The following is a 21,077-nucleotide window of genomic DNA, read 5'->3' on the forward strand; positions in this document are numbered from 1 at the left end:
GTTTGACTTATTTCACGTGCATAATGCCTTCAAAATTTTCCTACGTTGTTTCAAATGGCAGAATTTTTTTTATAGCTGAATATTATCTCTGTGTGTGTGTGTGTGTGTGTGTGTATGTGAGTGTGCATGTATCCCATTTTCTTTATCCATTCATCTGTTAATGGACATTTAAGTTGTTTCCACATCTTGGTTATTGTGATAATGCTGCAGTGTACATGAGAATGCAGATATCTCTTTGCCATATTGATTTCATGGCCTTTAGATACATACCCAGAAATGGGATTGCTGGATCATATGGTAGTTCTATTTTAAAATTTTTGATGAATCTCTATACTGTTTTCTATAATTGCTGCACCAATTTACATTCCTACCAACCATGCTCCAGGATTCTCTTTTCCCTGCATCCTCACCATCACTTGCTATCTCTTGTCTTTTTGATAATAGTCATTTGAACAGGTGTGAGGTAATATCTCACTGTGGTTTTGATTTGCATTTCCCTGATGATTAGTGCTATTGAGCATCTTTTCATGTGCCTGTTGACCATTTGTATGTCTTCTTTGGAAAAATGTCTGTTCAGGTACTTTGCCCATTTTTAAATCAGTTTTCTTTTTGTATTTTTGCCATTGAGTTGTATGAGTTCCTGATATATTTTGGCCATTAACTCCTTATCAGATACATGGTTTATAAATATATATATTTTTTTACCATTCTGTAGGTTATTTTTTCATTTTGTTGATTGCTGTGCAAAATTTTTTTAGTTTGATGTAGTCCCATGTGTTTATTTTTGTTTTTGTTACTAGTGCTTTTGGTAGAAAATTTTTTAAAAAGTCACTGCCTATGTCAAGGAACTTTTCCCTACATTTTCTTCTGGGAGTTTCATTGTTTTCATTCTTGCATTTAAGTCTTTCACCCATTTTGAGTTAGTTTTTGTGAGTGGTGTAAAATAGGGGTCCAATTTCACTCTCTGTATGTGAATGTTCAGTTTTTCCAACACCATTTATTGAAGAGACTATACTTTTCCCATGGTGTTTTCTTGGTGCCCTTGTCAAAAATTAGATGACTATATATGTGTGGGTTTATTTCTGGGGTCTCGATTCTGTTCCATCCATCTATGTGTCTGTTTTTATGCATGTATCACACTGTTTTGTTTAGAAAGCTTGGGATATAATTTGAAATCAGCAAGTGTGATGCCTCCAGCTCTGTTCTTTCTCAAGGTTGCTTTGGCTATTTGTGGTGTTTGTGGTTTCATGCATCTATGTTCTTAAAAGAGATTCATACAGTTTTTCTTTCATGCAATGTCCTGTGAAGTTTTGGTAACAAGGTTTTGCTGACCAAATTAGAAATCACTTTGGGTTGTGGTCCCTCTTTTTTTATTCTCTCTTAGAATAGATGTAAGATACTATTCTGTGTTTCTTAAATGCTGGTGGAGTTTATCAATAAAGCCATATGGAATTTTGTCTGTGATAAAATTTTTCAAAGGACTCAACTTATTTTGTAGATAGGATTATTCATTTTTTTCATTTTTTCTTATGTCAGCTTTGATAATCTATATGTTTAAAGAAAAATCTCTTCTAGATTCCAAAATTTATTTACATAAATTTGTTCATAATACCTTCCTTTTAAAATGTTTGTAGGGGCTATAGAAATGCCTTTTTTACATTCTTAGATTTGGTAGTATTTACCTTCTTCCTCCGTTTTATTTTTAACTTTGATAAGTCTTGCTAGGAGTTTATCAATTTTAACTTTTTTTTAAGAGGATAAATTTTTGGATTCGTGGATTTTCTCTATTATGTGTGAATTTTCTGTTTCATTAATTTATGCTCCTACCTTTATTATTTCCATTCTTCTGATCTCTTTTCATTTAACTTGCTGGCTTTTTGAAAGGGGAACTTAATCATTTAGTACTTTTTGCCTTATTTCTCTAATACACATATACTTTAAGGCTAAATATATCCCTCTAAATATTGCTTTTGCTACAAATCCCAAGTTTTGATGATTTTGTTTTACTTAAACACATTTTCTAATTTCCTTTGTGACTTTTTTTTTTACCCATGTGCCATTTAGAAGTACATTGCGTAAATTCCAAATATTTGAGAATTTTCTAGTTATTTTTTGTCATTGATTTCAATATTAATTCCACTGCAGTCAGAGTATATTGTCCCTTTATCTCTATCTTTATAAGTGTGTTTATATATGTTTTATAGCCAAGTGTATTGTCAATTTTGGTAAGTGTTCATTTTGCCTTAAAATGATGTGCATTCTATAGTTATTATAAGCAGCATTCTACATATGTCACATAGGTATAGTTTATTAATAATGTTCAAATCTTCTATGTCTCTATGATATTTTAGTATCTACTTGTTCATTCGGATATTAAAAGAGATATGTCAAAATCTCCTACTATGATCATGGATTTATCTAGTTCTTTCCTGTAGATTTTTGTTTAGATTTTGAGAATATTTTATTAAGTATATACAGTTATGCAATTATTTTATTTTTCTTGGGTATTGAACTTTTGAACATGACAAAGTATCCCTCTTTATTTTTAATAATGCTTCTTTAAGATCTGCTTTGTCTGATATTAGTCCCACGATGTCAGCTTTCTTTGGTTAGTGTTTGCATGGTATAATGAATACTCCTGTGCATTGTCTCACGTTTTCTTTACTTTACATCTGATTCTAACATTAATTTCGTTTCCAGGAATAATAATGCAGAAATAAAAAAGAACATTTCTTTCTAATATAAAGATTTGAGCCTTCATATCAACTGGTGTCATGGAAAACATCATTAGATAGTAATCAATACCAGTTCATATATACCCTAGTGAAGTGACTGAAGTTGAAGGCTAAAAAAAATGGCCATTGAGGCGAAACTCAAGTCACATACAAAGGAAAAATGTAAAGTTTGTATTAGATTTTTCCCTAAACACTCAATACTAGAAAACGGTATGTGTGGCATTCTGGGAAGATGTGTGCCTCAATGATTTTCACATAAACAGGTTATCCTTGAAGCATAACGAACAAAAATGTGCACAAGAACTTTAGGAGTATAGTACTTATAAACAAATAAACCAATTTTGATTAGATGACATAATCCAGTTGACCAAGAGATAAATCAAAATAACATTTTTTGAAATGAAGAAAATATAATAAAAATACTATATGAGAACTTAGCTGATGAGCATTTAATCCATTTAGACATGACTAAAATTTGAAGTATGTCTTAATGAAATGCAATTATTGTAAACCTTAACAATACACAAATATAATAACAAAGTAATCAGAAGCGGGCATATGTTTAAGTGCACAGATTTTATGCTGTTAGAGCAGGAGTCAATAGAATCCATCTAAAATTAAAATATTTGGTTTGAAATGCATAATAATTCCAACCTTTCAATATTTTTCATAATGCTTTTAATTAACTTCAGAGATATTTTAAAAATTAATGTTGCTTGCGCTGAAGAAACATCTGAAATTCAACAATTTTGTTTATTTCATTTTTTACTTCTCATTCAGTTAATTCAAGCATAAGCAAAATTACTACTATGTATGCCAGGAAAGAGATGTCTGAAACAGTGATTTCTATTTGTTAACTACAGCTATTTGGGGATGGCAAGTTTTTGGTGAATTCTTTTTTACTTTTCATTGTTCTTTTCCTTATTGTGTTACTTTTGCTTTTCTTATAATAAGCATGTATCATTTTTACATAATCTATGCAGTAATTTTTCTAAAAAAGTTAGAGAGACAGTGATAGAGCCATCTTTAGCTAGAAAAAATTTTCTCAACTTTTTCTAAATTTACTTTTAGAAAGAAACTTTATATTTTATCTTAAAAGAAGCTACTGATTGAATTATTCTTTGTCATGGTGAGCCTAATGTGATCAATTTTTATTTGGGGTTCACTAATGAAGAGTGAATCCTTTTTCTCTGCAACTCCTAGCATTCAGTATCATTCAGCATAAGCTTTCATATCCCAGCCTTCCCTGTTTTAAGTCAAGTCTGTCATCTCTTCTTCTTAGATCTAGGAACAGACAGTGTCACCCAAAAGGACACTCTCTGAGGAGCAGGATGGCGGTGGGGTGCTACTGGTTTGAAAGTGTGTCAGATTGACAGCCATTCTGCCATGTACTACAATAGAGAGTCAAAGAATTAAAACGCACAGTATCTTATTTTATGATGGAAGATGGGGAGGACAGGAAAAATCGGCTCACAATTATTTAGCACCTGATGTATTCCTGGCATGGTCACAGCAACCCTCTCAGGTATTACTAATCCCATTGTGCACACGAGGAAAGAAAAATTTGAGAGAGGTGAGATGAGTTGCCTGTGTTTATGTGGCTAACTGGGAACACTGATGATGAAGCCTGAGCTTCCCCGGGCTCTTCCCTCTGCTTCTATCGCTGCTGTGGACAAATTCCTATAAGTTCCTTTATATTTCTACCAATTCCTATATAAGCTGTTATATGTTTTTGGTTAAATTTACAACCTTGTTTATTGTACTGAAAAAAACCCTTAAAGTTTTGCCTTTGATACAGATAATACATTTATGTTTCAAATTGTTTTTATTTTAAGAATGACTACAAAGACAATGGAAGCAGATAATTCCAGCTAGAATCAAAATTTAACGGTGAAATGAGATCAAACTCACAAAGAGTTAATTATGCTAGCACTAATTAAGTGTAGTCTTCTTAAAAGCAAAAAAAAAAAAAAAAAAAAAAAAAAAGCCAGCTTTATCCTGGCAAGAAGCCTGTAAAAAAGGGACGATCTGTCACAGACTCACAGAACACAGTAATTAAGGTCTGAAACGCTTCCCAATCAAAGAACAGGAAGAGTTCACTCCGAGTTAACTGTTTAAACAGCATCCCTTGTGAAATGGCATTGCCACTGTATGTTTTTAGATTGAATTGATTTAATTTCCTACTGTTTGCCTCTAAGTAGGAATTAGAGCCTCCATTAGGAATTGCTAATGGTGCCCATTCTGGACTCCCTCATCCCAGGACAGGAGTGGAGGGAAGGACTAATGCAGTGTGCCTGTGATATATGCTGCAGCCAGAACCTGTTCACAGGCTAATTCAGCAACAGGCAGGAATGATGAACAATTAATGAACTCACATTGTGTTTACATGTCTAATTTTGATACTAATCATTTATATGTTCTAAGTAAGATGTTACGCTTTCACGGAAGCATAAAAATGTGCACATAAACAAAAATATGTGAATTGTTCCAAAATTATGCTTAAATTTTACATTTCATTTCCTAGCAGAGACGCAGTCAACACATTCATGCAGTGACACCTGTAACTCACACATGGTGGTTTAATTTAGTAACAGTTGATTTCCCTTTACAATAAAACAATCGCCTGAACTCAGCTTCATGTATTGGTTCATTGTTCTTCCTTGCTGTCACTGTTAACCAGTATTTAGGCTTCATCCAGAACATCTACTCCACTTAAAAAGCGTAGTAAATGAACAAAAAGATGGACATTGTCACTTTCCTTTTACTACGATGTGAGGGTTGCACTTTTTCTCAATTCATAATGAATTTGTTTTTATATACCCAACCCACAGTTACTTGTTGCTTATATTAAGGGACAGATTTGGTAAATCATATTTAGGTCCATTGTGACTTGTGAACAGGTAAGTTTTTATTCACTTTCTAAAAGCAATTAACGATTTCAACTTCCTGATAAACACAATAGCTAATATTTGTTGAGAGTTTTTTTTTAGGTACTTAGCTCTTTTGAGTGTTATTTTTTTAATTGTTTCAACAACCCAATTAAGAATGTATTATTAAATATAATTATCTCAGTTTTATACATGAGGAATCTGTGATTTGGTTAAATAACTTGCCTAAGTCCACACAGCTCTGCATCAGGAACTAACATGTCCTGGTAGTGGCAGACTAACCAGGGGGACGTCTCTTGTCTATACTAGCAAAATTCTAGATCACTTAAGTCGGTGAAATGAGAGAAGGGCACTTTGAGTTTTTTTGGTTTTGTTTGTTTGTTTGTTTGTTTGTTTTTTGAGACGGAGTCTCGCTCTGTCGCCCAGGCTGGAGTGCAGTGGCGCGATCTTGGCTCACTGCAAGCTCCGCCTTCCGGGTTCACGCCATTCTCCTGCCTCAGCCTCCCGAGTAGCTGGGATTACAGGTGCCCGCCACCACGCCCGGCTAATTTTTTGTATTTTTAGTAGAGACGGGGTTTCATCGTGTTAGCCAGGATGGTCTCCATCTCCTGACCTCGTGATCTGCCCGCCTGAGCCTCCCAAAGTGCTAGGATTACAGGCGTGAGCCACTGCGCCCGGCAACACTTTGGGTTTTACACTCCTGTTCTATCCTTACAGTTTCTGACTATTGGCATTTTATGTAGAAGCAGAGCAAGTGGAGAGTCAATTATTCATGAAACTTTGGAGGAAGAGATAGCCTCTTCCTCCATCCCATTCTCTCCTTGTTCTGCTCCTCTTTTAAAATTTATTTTAAACTTCATCACCTAATTATGGGTTTACCGTATTACTCACTCATGCAATTATTTTCCATTAATAAAAGTTTCTCATATTGGAGAAATTGTGATATTCGGTGGACAAAGACCATGAACTTTTATACTTCCTATTATGATCCAGAACTCTTTGTAGAAACTATGGCCTCTGGCACAATATTTTCAGTCATGAGAGTTTAGTATCCTATGATCTCAGTGGTATTTAACAATAACTCCTGAAATACATATTTTCAAAAGCAGTGGAAAAATGGATGTCAGGTCCATTAATCGCAGATGAAAAAATTTCTCTGGGTTGGAATGTCAACCAGGCATTAGTGGTGCCTTGCACTAAAAAAATCTATTCAAATGACCTTCTCATTAGGTCAGCTTGTCCTTCTGCCCTGAGATATTTTAAAAGCTGAAACTGGCAGTTAGAGCTATAATCCTTATGATACCTTAGGCTGTGTGTAGTAGATATTTGGTCATAAGAATAGCCACAAGCAACTCCTGTGTAGCATTTTGCTCATAGCTGTCAGCTTGACCAAATCACATGCAAAATCGATTTAAAACTGCATGTTCTGTAAAGTAAGTATGTCCATTATGTGGGAAGTGTTTCGGGGTAATTTGAAATAGGCTAAAAACACTCATTGGTAACTGAAGGATTTATTTAAAATTGATGTTAGGGAAGGTATAAGTAAGCAAAACTATGTTTACTCCTTATATTTAGACATAAGGAAACACTAAGAAAAAATTCTGAACTGTGCCTATCAACAATGGTATGGTTAAAAAGAAATGTGATGTTGGCATTTGTGGCTATATGATAAATGGAGTGATATTAAACGCTAACCATTTGAAAGTTGCAAATGCCCATTTACAAATTTCTGGTGTAAAAGCACAGTTGCACAATCAAAGTACATTTACAACCTGTGAATCGCTAAAGACTTGGGAGGCCGCATCTTGTCCCTGGCAGATGCTATCCACATTCCTCAGCTCTCCTGGTGGCATTCAGGGACAGAGGCTGCTTCTGGAGAGAAGAAGAATAAAGACTCCAAAAGGCTTAAATTAGAGTGGCTTTGAAATGAAATGCATTTTAAAAATGTGTTTTAGTGCTTCTGTAAAATGATGCTATTGTTGTGTTTGTCATACTTCTGTTAAAAATGAGGCCATTTATACAGCAATAGAGACACTGAATGGGAAAGAGAATTGGGAGATGTTGGAATGTTTGAGGATATTCTTTTCCTTCCTGGGCACTGGGAAATTCCACCGTTGTCAGTCACATTAGCAGAATGTAGAACATTAGCTTAGCAATGCCAGGATACCCGCAAGGGAGGAACCGAGGCTACTTTGCCCATGATGTTAACCTCTTGAGTGCCACATTGCTGCAGGGTTTAATGTGTATGGAGGGATATAAGGGAGGAGTTATAGGAAGCCATTTAGTGGAAATACCATTGCACAAAACTTGATGGGCAAACCCAAAGGACAAGAATACTGTATCATAATGTCTAGGGACAGCCTTTGTTTCCCAACAAAGGCCCTCTGGTATTCAGAGGGCCACCCTTTTCCAATGTGAATATGAATACTCCAGAAACTGCACACCCTCTCTACCATGCCCACTCTTCTCATCCTTCTCTACATTCACTATTGGAATGTACATTCACCTTTGGAAGACAGAAAAACAGAAAAGATCTGCTTGTTCACAGCTTTCTATTTTGATCTATTCCTCTAATAAGTAATTTTATTTTTTCTTTAATCTTAAGACCCACTTCTTTCAGAAACATAATTAAAAAATTAGGTTTTATGCTATATGTGTCCTGGAGCTCTAAGTTTTATAATGAATGTAGCATTTATGAGCTTATTCTTAAAGACATATGATTTGCTTGTATTTATTTTTTAAAAAATTGGGGCATCTTCAAGGAATCAGGAGCTTTGCTTGGAGTACAGAGTTAACAAAATACAGTCTCTGTCCTCCAGGATCTTACACTGTCGGGTAATGGTTAGCTCATTTGTTTGCAAAGCAATTTGTATAATTCCTCCTTTCCCTTACCCCAAATTACCAGAAAAAACATGTAGAACACTCCATCCTCTAACCCAAGGAGCATAAATAGAAGTATTTAAAAAATAAAATTTTGCTTAGGAACTGAGAACAGAATGTTCTTCCTGTAAAAAAAGAGCTCATGATTAAATAAAGTCTTACCCTGTTTGTATTAGGCAAAAAGTCATATTTAGAGAACATTCTACTTTTTAACCTTGTTTATTCTTTCTACTTTCTTAATATGCAACTGTTCAGTTCATTGACACATTCATTTGTTCATTAAATTTTCTTGAATTTTTATTACCCAAATCAAGAACCTCATTGTCCGGTGGAAGAGAAAGATACAGTATAAACAGGAAATTGTAACATTTCACTAGTTTGTGTCAGAGAGGTGCTTGAAGAAAGTGTTTTAGGCACAAAGAAGAACAAAAACTAACACAGCTGGTCAGGAAGTGAGAGAGTTTGTTTTGGAGATAATGAGTTTTCAAAGTAAAGAGGCAAGGGAAGAGCATGCTAAACAGAAGGAACCGTAAGTGCAAAGACACAGAGGCTTGAACGATCCTGGAAGGTGGAGGAAATGTGGTTAGTTGGAGGTTTCTTGAGAGACAGGCTACAATGAGAGAGACGAGGTTGGGAGGTAGGCAGGGAATGGAAAGTGAAGAGTTTTATAAGTCAAGTAAATAAATAAGATGGTTCCTTTGGCAGAAGGAGTAATGGATTGTTTTTGAGCATGGCGTGATCACTGCAACAGTAGGAAGGATCACTTTATAAAAAGCAAAACATTTAAACAAAAGAAAAAAAGAGATTGCTTTGAAGTTGTATGGGAAGTAGTGGACAACCAGCTCTGATTCCATGAAGGTTATCTACAGAAGAGATAAGAGAAACCTGAACAGGGCAGTCACTGTGAGACTGGAGAAGATGGAGGTTCCCATTGTATTAAATAGTATTTGGTAACCCATGTGATAGAATATTATGGTGGGGGAGAAAGGAGACAAGAATGACTTTAGATTGATCAGATTGCTCACTTGGCAAATGGTAGCACAAAGCAGAAAAAACTGTTAAGAAGAGCATGTGCTGGGGACCAGGTCATGAGTTTGGTTTAGGACATGCTAAGTCTTAGGTGTCTGTGGGTAGTCAACAGCTTCCAGGTCCACAGAATCCTGCCACTAGATCCCAGCACAGAGTGCCAGGCAGCTGACAGCTCCTTTGCTTTCTTCATGCTTCTCTGTTCCCTCAGATGTCCTGGTCAGTAAGAAGGGCATGAGGAGGAGAAGTGCCAGGTGAGGAAAGAGAGAAAGTTGACCATGGCCTCCTTTTGCTTTTAAATTGCTGCAAGTCTCAGCCAAGAGACGTGAGAAACTGCAACTCTAAATTGAGTTTGGAGCATTGAATACTAGACGATATGGGATATTTTAATTTTAGATATGACTGAGTTTTTCTATGTAAGTGACTTTGTGACTTTTTGTTATCTGAGAGAAACAAGAGAATATGGACAGTCCCTCTTATTGGTTCAACTTAATGTTATTTTGGCTTTACAATGGTGTAAAAGCGATATGCATTCAGTAAAAGCTGTACTTTGAGTACCCATATAACCATTCTGTTTTTCATGTTCAGTATTCAATAAATTACATGAGATAGTCAATACTTTATGATAAAATAGGCTTTGTGTTAGATGATTATGCCTGACTGTAGGCTAATATAAATGGCTTGGGCATGTTTAAACTAAGCTAGGCTATGATGTCTGGCAGGTTAGGCATCTAAATACATTTTCAAATTATAATATCCTCAACTTATGATGGGTTTATCAGAATGTAACCCCATTGTAAGTCAAGGAGCATCTGTAGTTGGAATAGTCTTCCAGTGAGAGGAGAAGAACTAGTGCCACAGAGGAAATTTGGCAAGACAGTGGGTGACCAAAGTAAAGCTGCATTATAATTACCATCTTTGAGTCCAGAGTCTGCATAGGAGGAAAAGAGAAGGGCTCAGGCTGAAGCTTGGGTAACACCAGTATTTGAAGAGCCAGCAGCAGCAGAAGAGGCATCTTTAAAGAAAAAAATACTGGGAAATAGCATTCTCCAATTTGTTCAGATTTAAATCTCATAACAATGGTTTTTATCACCAACTCTTTTCAGATAAATCAGCTCAAGCTTAGAGAAGAAATTAGTCTCCCAAGGGCACATAGCTAGTGTGTGGCAGAATTAGGATCTGAAGCCTGCTGTGTGCGATATCAAAACCACTATGCTAACTATTCTCTACATCTTTAAAAAAATCACAAACTTTGAATTTTAAGGAAAACGCGAGTAAAGAACCCAGAGTGATATAAGAATAAATAATATGTTGAACATTTCATAGGCAGGGTTGATAAGAATCTGATGCTCACTCCAAGTACTGCAAATAAAATTGGCATGTGATTCAGGATACTGTAAGTCTCCTGGGTCAAATCCTAATACCAAACTTGTGCTGGTTTCTCTCTGATGTTTGCCACAATGTGGGCTGTCATTCATCTAAAGGAGTGGGGTCAGATGGAGATCCAGAGGAGCCCCAGTGACCGGCTTGTTTCTACAGTGGCCCTACGTGTGGGGAAGGCCCAATGAGACTGTTAGTTGTTTCTACCCACCCTTCACCCACTTCTCTTTGGTAGGCTTTTTTTTTTTTTTTAAGTTGTGATTCATTGTTATGAAAAACCTTTATAAGAACAATTTTACATTTGGGTTTCAATTATGTACCAACATGAGGTTCTTTAAACAATGCATTCATTTAAGAAAATGAAACCTTGGCCTTTATGGGTCACTTTACATATTAAAAAACATGCTCATAAGGGAAGCCCTAAGCGGATCCAAGAAGTGTAAGATTCACTTGTTATTTTACTTTTTATTAATACTGATTTATAATGAGAATAAAGACATACCCTTACTTAAAAATAAGTGCTGGTAATGTAGGCTATAATTTGAGAAGTGGAAAGCTTTAAAAAACCTTCCATGGTGGTTCCCACCATGGAGAGGGGCTGACTTGCTGTTAGCAGTGATTCTTTTTTCTTGTTCTTAAATATTTCCTTCATGCTTGATTCAGTCTTCATTTAAGTTTTAATTTTGGATTTTCTTTTTCTTATAGAAACATCTTGTAAAGCAGTAAAAATAAAAAGTTGTTTCTTTTGAAAGAAAGCTGATTACTGAGGTGAGACAGCCCAGTCACTGCCCCAAACAGTACAGCGTTTGTATTGTTAAACTGGAAATGAATCTGAAGTCTCCTGGTTTTCCATTCTCCAGGACTGCATGTCCATTCTTTCTACTCTTCCAAACTTGCAAATGTCATCATATTTTAAAAAGTGCCTCATTGATAGTACAATTTTCAAGTAAATTGAAATTTCCCTCTTTTTAAATCCAAGCTCCCTCTTGCTTCCCTCTCTCTCATACCACATCACACACACACACACACACACACACACACACACACACACACACACGATTAATGGTACAGACAGGCTGCTTTGCATGGAATTTGCCCTGCATCTAGACCTGACTGTCAAAGGAAGACTCTGTCCTGACCCCAGCAATACTTGTTATTTGATTTCTTAAATTAATTTTTTATTTGTAATCTCAGGTTTTGTTGACCTTGGAGAACCTCCTGAAAGAGCAATTGGAGAGCTGATTTCAGTCTGTAGACAAGTCTATGTGGAATAAGAAAGAATAGCATAGTCCGATAGGCCAAATTTTGGATTTGTATTTTAGAGCTAAGAGTGCAAATTCCATTAAGGTTGTACTTACAATAAAATTTCTTTTAAATCTGTTTTTCATCTTTAGTTTGGAAATCTGTAATATAATCTATGATTCAGAATATTTCCTATATTGGGAAAGAAGCTAAGTTGTAAAAACTAATATAATGACCATGGCTAAAAAGAAAGTTTTATTATGTTATGCCTTAATTGACCTCAACATGAAAGAGGAGTCCAGAGGTGAAGAAATATATTTGCAATGGAAAAATACCGCTTTACAAAAAAAAAATAAAAGAGGACTCTCACATCACCAACAGAATTTCTGCTAAACTCTGGGTGTGACAGACTGGTTTGGTTTTGCATTAACTTTAGGATTTTGGTGTAAATCGGCTTGTGGAAGCTTGAGGGGGAATGGTACAGAAAAGGAAAGAGAGAGAGAAATGCTTCTTCCCTTAGTCTATGACCTCCCATCCTCAAATCTATCTGGCTCATGGACTAACAGAATTTGGATGGAGTCCTGTTTTCATCCATCTCCATCCTTAGCCCAACAAACATGTCTTCATTAATTCTATCACTCTGTGATCTTGAGCAAGTTACTTAACAGATGCAGGTCTCAATTTTCTGGTTTTCTCAGGAGCTCAGTAAATAGTTTCAGAGGCTGGGCAGGTAATAAAATAAATGAATGATGTGGGGAGAGCTAGACGTTAAAGTCCTGTAGCAAACCTTATAGTGCGCCTCCCAGAGAGCCTATTCAAATGGCTTCATTTATTCATTTTAAGTTTTAGATGTTTAGTTTAAGTCCACACTTGGACTAGATACTCTCTAAATTATCTTCAAGATAAAATTCCATGAATTATCTGTAAGCCGTCATACAGATTGTATTTTCTTCTACTCATGTCGTTCTCTGAGACTCAATGGGGATCAGGAGACCTGTCCCAACTGGCTTCATGTAAAATATTTATTTAAGATTTTCTGCATCTGTAGTCAATGAGATGGAATCCTTTTCTCCCACAGAACCCTCCTTGAGCTAGTAAAGTCTGTACTTGAATCCATGCTCTTTTGTCTGAGGCAGATCAGATTGGGGAATATGATAAATCAAAGTGCTTACTCAAATATTAAACTCTAATGAAGTCTTGGCATTTAAAAATGTGCTATTACAATTAACTAGCTGGCTCCATCCCTCCTGGAATACTATCTTTTCTCTTTCTCCAGGAGTGGTGACTACATTCTGCTGTAGTCAGATTTTTGACTTTCTAGAAGGAATCTCCTTGTGAGGTAGAAAGGGAAGCCCATCTGAAGGTCATTTGCATATTCCAAACTATTAGCCACTATTGAAAATGAAAGGACTAGATTATTGATGTCTGAATCGATTGGCAGTAAATGGTGTCAAGATGCAAGAGCATGATAAGCTCAAGATGTAAGAGCATCATAAACTCAAAGGAGTATTTAGCATCTGCATATCAAAATTGTACCCAGAATCCAATGATTACATGAAATGTAAGCTCATTGTTTCTTTTAAGAGTAGTGAGATTATTTCACAAGATTGACTGTGATGATTATGACTATGATGAAGATGACTATTGTGGGTCATCTTTAGGGATTTTGCTGTAGGTAGACCTTCGCTGTCACAGTATTTTTATGTCATATATAAATTTAAAATCTGGGGCAAGTAAGTTTAAATGATTGCTGTGCGCGCGCGCGTGTGTGGTGTGTGTGTGTGTGTGTGTGTGTGTGTGTGTGTGTGTGTGCTGACTGATCAGGCAACGAATTCTCCTGTTGGCATCTTGACTGTTACCTCCTGAGGGTGGGATTGTGCTTCTCAGTCTAGATTTCCTTGGATTTAGTGATGATTTAGTGATGGGCCTGCTATTTTTGCTGAGTTACCTCAGGAGGGAAATGCTTCAGAAAGGGAGATCTGAGTCTAAGGCTCTGGCTCATGTTGCTCAATCATGGACTTGCCGGCCCTCAGCTCCATGCACTGTTTTTCTGGTCCAGGTAACCCTGGGAGTTCCCAGGAGGACTGAGTGCCCGTGACTGTCCTAATTGCTACTGTGAAGCTTCCTCTCCTCTCTGCTCCTTTCTGGCACACCAGACCCCTTATCTTGTGGCTCACAAGGCCACTGGCCCTCTGGCCGTGGCAGCTAGTCCTGGGCGGCTCTGTGACTTCGCTGACATTAGCAAGCTCTACCACTTTCTATTCCAATTATGGGTTGCTGAAGGGAGAAAAGTCTTCCTTTGCCTTTAGTGTTTATAGTTTCTTAGGCTACAGCACAGAGAGGCTTTGCTCTCTGAGTTCTACTCACTGGCCCTAGGACAGTATTATTTTAGTTTATTTGGAATTTGGCACAATTTCCCTTACACCAAATTTAGGAACTGCACACAAATCATTCTTCCCAACCAACGTTCCTTTTAGGGTCTTTGGTTGAATGGAAAATCTTTCTTCCATCAAATTGATTCATGATGCTATCAGGACTTCCTTCCTCTCTCCTTTCTTTTCTTCCTTTCTTCCTCCTACTCTTTCTAATTCCCTTCCTTCCTCCCTTCTCTCATTCTTCCCTCTCGATTACTGATAGATGTATGGAGGAAAGATCAGGAGGGAACAGTTGACAAAGGATCCCTGGCTTGTGGGGAAGGGGGACACTGAACATAAGGATGGTACAGAGAAGTGTTGACAGACATTTACTTCCCAAGTTGCCTCTGTGAGACCTTCTCACTGAATTCCCTCAGATGGAGTTGAAAAGCACTTGACTACATCCCCTTGCTACCTGGGAGACTGGGAAGGTAGTTTTCTTGCTCCCACAGATATGATACTTCTGCAATACACTTTGGGGGAGAGGCATCAGTAGAGGAGGGGGTTAACGTAGAAACTATTTCTTTATTTTTTTTTCTACCACTAATAATCCAGAATGAGGCCTGTCATATAAGATGAGGAACTAAGGACAAAAGGTAAGCCCTGATTCTTAATTTCTCTGTCTGTCTCTGTGGGTTTAAGTTAACCCTTATTAGTGAGTCCACATCATATTGCTTTCTAATTAAAACATATATATGTCTAATGAGTTTACAGAATAATAAGGCATTTGTAATACTTTAATGAAGGGCATTCTTTTCATCTTTATTTACTCAGCAGCATAATCAGGACCAACTTAGAAAGGTTAGATGTGGTCAAAATAAATGTATGAAGAGTGGCTATTAAGGGGTAGAGCATATGTATGCAGACTGTGGTTAAATAACGGTAAGTAGGATGTGTTTATTAAAATGATGCACGGATTTTATCCCTTCATTCTTGATGTCTCTTAGTACCTGACATTATACTGCTATGGTTTCCATGGAAACAGCACATACTCTTCCTTTCAGCTGACCTGAAGTTCAAGCCCTGCTGTTGCAATAGAAATTCTCAGAAGCACCTCCACTTTTATTAAAAACAAAAATACCAAATCTATGCAAAAAGTAAAAGCAGAAAAAGAGGACAAAAATATCCATTGACGATATTGCAGGAGAGAAGAGAGAATGCACAATATTTTCATTAAGATAGAATCAAGAAACAATTTACTATGCCGGAGGTTGAGAGAGTCTGTCATTTCCTTCCCCTAAATTACCTTAGAATTGATCCTCCTGAGCCTGCCTTAACATCTTCACCTTTCATTTCTAATTCAATATGTTCTACTATTTTTAGTTTTCTGGAAGTATCTCCTTTACTGATTTAAGAACTTGCTTCTTCGTGACTCACAAAAAATGTTGATCCAGTCTATACATTGCATCTTTAATAAAGGGAGGTTAACTTTAGGGTGGGATTGCTGGAATAAGACGTTTCATAAGGAGTCACAAAGTGGGTCTCTTGTCCACAGCCTCCTTTTATTTGTTTTGTTAGCAAAGATGCTTTGGGTTGCAAGTAACACAAAACTTCTTGTGGTCTATATAAGAAGGTGGATTCATTGGCTTATGCAACCAAGGGTCCAGAGCAGAGCCATAATTTGATTTGGGATCTGGGTCTGTTCCTCTAGAATTTTCTAAGCTTTGGCCTCTTAGAGCTGACATAGTCTTCAGGCCAGCTTCTGCACTGTAGCAAAACGCCTGAAGCAATTACCCAGATTATTTCAGCCTGCCATACAAAAGCGAGAAAATGAGGATGATTTTTCAAGAAATTCCTACCAAATAGCATCTTCAGCCCCATTGTTCTGATTACACCAAGGGCACCCCATGAGTCCATAACTGAGCAGGACATGGGGTAAAGCTGATTGGCTTTGGGCCTGAGTCATAGGCTCAACTTCTGGGCCAGGTGAAGTTAGTCTCCTCCAAAGCATATAGACTGCATGGCAGAAAGATGGACATCAGTGTAAAATTTGGAGGTATTACCAAGAGAAGAATAGATAGATACTGGGAAAACAGACATTGTCCACTGCAAAAGGCTATCTCATGCTAGAACCATGAGTCTCAAGCCAAATTTTTCATAGTGCCTAGCATATTCATATCTCTGTTGTTTTCTAATTAAAACACACACACACACACACACACACACACACACACACACACTCACACACACACACACATATATAATGCGCTTTCAGAATAATAAGGCACTTGTGATATGCATACAACTCTCTGTCAGAGTTTAGAAAATTCCAGAGTAACAGACCTAGAGTCCAGATCAAACCATTCCTCTGCTCTGGACCCTTGGTGATGTAAACCAATGAATCCATCTTCTTATATAGACCACAAAAAGTTTTCAGTTACTTGCAACTCAACACATCTTTGCTAATAAAGCAAACAAAAGGGGGCTGTGGAAAAGAGGCCCACCTTGGGACTCCTTGTTCATGTGAAATGTCTTATTCCAGCAATCCCACCCTAGATAAAGTTAACTGCCCTTTATTAAAAATGTCATTTATAAGTGAACCTCTTTGGGATTCCAAATAAAATCTCAGGTCTTGAAAGAGACGTTAGCTAGATTTCAATCTCATCTACTTTCCTATTCACAATGTAACCTTCTCAATTTATTTAATATTACAGCTTGCCCACCCCATCTCATTATGTTATCTTCCATAGCCCTTAACACTTTTACCATACTACAAAATTTAATGTTTGCTGTGTTTATTGTTATATTTGTTGTTTGTTATATTCACTGACATATCCCAAGCACTTAGTGAGTATCTGGGATATAGTAGATGCTCAATAAGTACTTGTCTAACAAATGAATGGAATGTATAAATAAACAGTTGAATTTGACCAGGCACTTTATGGCCATTTGCTAAGGCAATTTGATTGATCTGATTTTTGACAACTGAATATAGTACTCAAATCTCTATTTCTAAAATATCGTTCCACAGGGATTTTTGTACCTGTAGCTTTTGTGCTCCTGTAGGCAGATAACAGTAACCCCAACCTGAGTTAGACATTTTAAGGGAGGTTTGTTTCTTGGCTCCTTAAATCCCTTCACTTGGTTGGAAATGAGAATAGAGGGATATATGGAAGTCACAGTTCTATCATCAGGGTTGCAAAACTCTCCTTCATCCAGGCAAGATCAAGATCTTTCTGGGCTTGGAAGAGTTAACTGTGTCTTAGAGGAGTTCTCTGCTGCCCACTTAGCATGCCAGTGGGTATCTAGAAGCACTTGCCTTCAGGCTTCTCAGGACAATTTGCAGTTTGATGTCAACTTGAAAGCAAGATGTTTTCCTCAGTTTAGGGCAAAACCTACCTCTTTTCGCTATAGTGGCTATTCAGCCTGAGTAGCATGGCTCATGAACCTCCTAAGCGATTTCTTCACAAAGCAAACCTTGATAGCACTAGAGTTAAAGGCCAGGTCAGGGAAGGGCCCTGGCAGGTAAATATTCTGCTCTGGGTGGCCTCAGGGGAGGGATAAAAAATCATATCTGCTCTCTTGTGAGAAAGGGTAAAATTCACAGTGTTGTTTAGCTGGTTGTTAACTTTTACTCAGGATGTTTCGGTTGCTAAGGGCACATGGTAACTTTCATGTGAGCTCTACCTATGAACCTATCATCATATTCCATGAGTCATGCAAGGGGTTCTAATTTAGTACATAATTCAATTCTTCCACCACCAAGATGTCAGGGTAGAGGGTTCAAGACTTCATCCCCTGGAGATCATATCCCTAGCTCTGGACTGAACTCCATCTAATTATTCCAAACAAATTCCTTTTCTGTGGGCTGTCTTGCTCTGATTCTGAAATCCAAGAGACTTGCAGAGATGATACACACTAATAAATAATTCTATCGTGTTATATGTAGCACTTCCAGCCAGAAATCAGCCTTACTATGACAATTATGTAAAAGCTTCTATTGAAACAGTTTTGCCTGCCATAATCCTTGTCTCTAAGGTTAGATACAGTTGCCTCTATAGTTACCTGGGCAGTTCACCCTGCTCAGGGAGCTATATGTAACAATCATCAGACGCAGGGATTAAAAATATTTAACACCCTGTACACTGTGAACACCAGACAATCTCAATGGAGGGCAGCCAGTGAGTTGAATACATCAGCCTTGCCCAAAGAGATGTGTGGGTGGTGATATCAGCCACTAGTTCCCCTTCACCATCTATGAATTAAATAATTACTTTTCAAGAGTCCTCATGTGTCATCTCACTATCTATTTCTCCAGATGAGAAGACCATTTCTAAGGGAGATGAATGATTTGCTTAAAGTCACACAGAATTTAAATGTAACCCAAATAAATTCTGGAACCCCGTGTGATCAAATCTTTGCATATTTTGTGCAAGGAAACACAATCTAGAAACCAGAAGTAATTACACATATTTTGAATCCAGTTTTGGTCTTTCAAGGAAATGACAAAGAGAAGAGTAAATTCTTAATGCATGGCTAAAGTCATCTTCCTCCACTGCTTCCTTTCTTAGCATATTTTACATAGACTGCAGCTGTTACTCTGCAAGCCTCTCTATTTTCCTCCCATCACTTGCTCAAAAACTGCTCCAGAAACCCCACAAACATGAGTTAAACAATCCTCCTTCCCCTGTTGAAGGAGCACTGTGAGGTTTTGCCCAGTGGTTGGCCTGGCCAGGCTGTGGGAGGAGCCCAATGGACCAGGAAGCCATATCACCCATCCCACCAACTCAGACTCCTGATTTTCTACAAAGGGAAGCACCTGGAGGCCACTGACAAATGCATTTCTCCTATCAGTCTCACAGCTTTCCCAGTAAAAAATCATTTTTGGAAATTTCAGTTGAATATAATTCTGAACCTCACTGCACGTATAACCTCTAGGAACTGGAGCCAAGACCTCAGCTTGGGTCTCTAGGGTCCATGCAAATGGATATTATGTCTCATTTATGCTCAGCACACAGTAAATGCACAGTAAATACTCCTTAAATACAGAAATAATTCTGGGGATACAGTCAGGAAAATAATCTCAAAAGAAAAGAATGTCAGAAGGGAAAAGGAAGGGAAAGTGCAAAAGTTTCTGCTCTCCCTTCTTTTTCCTCTCTTTTTCCCTTCCATTTTTTCCTACAGAATAATTTGGATTGACCATCTACATTGGTTAAAGAAATACACCGACTGACAGTTCCATTCTTCTGTTTGCTTTGTGCAGGCCCTTTGGAATTGACTTTTATGGTCAGTCTCCATTTTCTCTTCTTGTCACTTTCCTCTTGCCTTTTTCACTGTATGCATGAGAGTAAGTTTCTGTTATATTGTTATTTTGGAAGGTCTCTGGCAGGGTGGCAGTAAAATGACACAGCTAAGCGATACAGATTTTAATGACTTAATGCTATCATAATTTCTAATAGAAACATAAGTGGAGACACGAGTGATGTTTTAAACGATATAAAAATGAAAAGTGGATCATAGAAAAGATGTTCATGAGAAATTACTGTGGCAGAGAAGAAGCAAGACAGGTGAGGATAAACTTGATAAAGGTGGGTCCATAAAATAGATGCTATTAGTAAAAGGGAAAAAGTCACAGGAGAGAAAAATAACATTTTGGAAGTATGTCAGAAAGAAAAAAAAATGATGACAAAGGGAAAAGGTGAGCTGGCTTCTTAATAGGGGAAAAGAGCAAATATGAAATTACAGAAAAAGGAAGGAAGGCTTGGCCTGTCTTATGAGCCAGGCTTGGTGACAAAGGGTAGTAGCAAAAAGAATACTTACGGTAATAATAGTCAATGAGGAAAGGCGGCGTGGAGAAGCGGTGCATTTCAGAATATCCAGGGTAGGAAAATCACTGCAGAACACAAAAGGAGAGAATAGAGGCAGTGCAGGCCAGCTGGCAATTATTTTTTAAACCTCATGGAAGACTATTAGGTTCCTAGGAATTTGAAAAGGGAAAGGCAGCTCAAATTTTTTATTTTTAAAAGTTTGATGAAATGTGTTAAAGTAGGTCACAGAGAATACATGGATTTGGTGGGCTTTCTTGGGACGCAGGTAAATTTTGGTGAAGCTAATAAAATGGCTAAGTGACCAACACAGGGCCAGCTTGCCCACTGGCTCAAATATGGGCTTCTAAGGGCCCTGGTTCAGACATCCACCCACTGCCACCTCCCCCTCCCATTGTGTACCACTTCACTTTTTATGACTCCACCAGTGGTAGAGAACCCATATTTCCCCTTATCTTTCTTTCTGTGTACACACGGGGAAGACTGAACTTTCCCTTCCCAATGCAGATGAGCAGGTGCTTGTGTGTCTAGGTGGAAGCATACAAAAGCTGATTCTCCATGGTTTTTTCTTTCTTCCTTTGTGTTTTAAAACTATAGTGTATAAGTAAATCATTTCAGGTGTATTAAGGCCAACAGGTCAGGAAACAATTGCCATAGAAAAGATAGTTTATTACTCCCAGGTCCCAAGAAGGGGACCCCATGTCCCAGGGGGCATATGGGAAGCACTGGGGTAGGTCTTGAGGCACA

The sequence above is a fragment of the Homo sapiens genome, chromosome 1 (assembly GCF_000001405.40).
Source record: "Homo sapiens chromosome 1, GRCh38.p14 Primary Assembly".
Classification (NCBI taxonomy): Eukaryota; Metazoa; Chordata; class Mammalia; order Primates; family Hominidae; genus Homo; species Homo sapiens.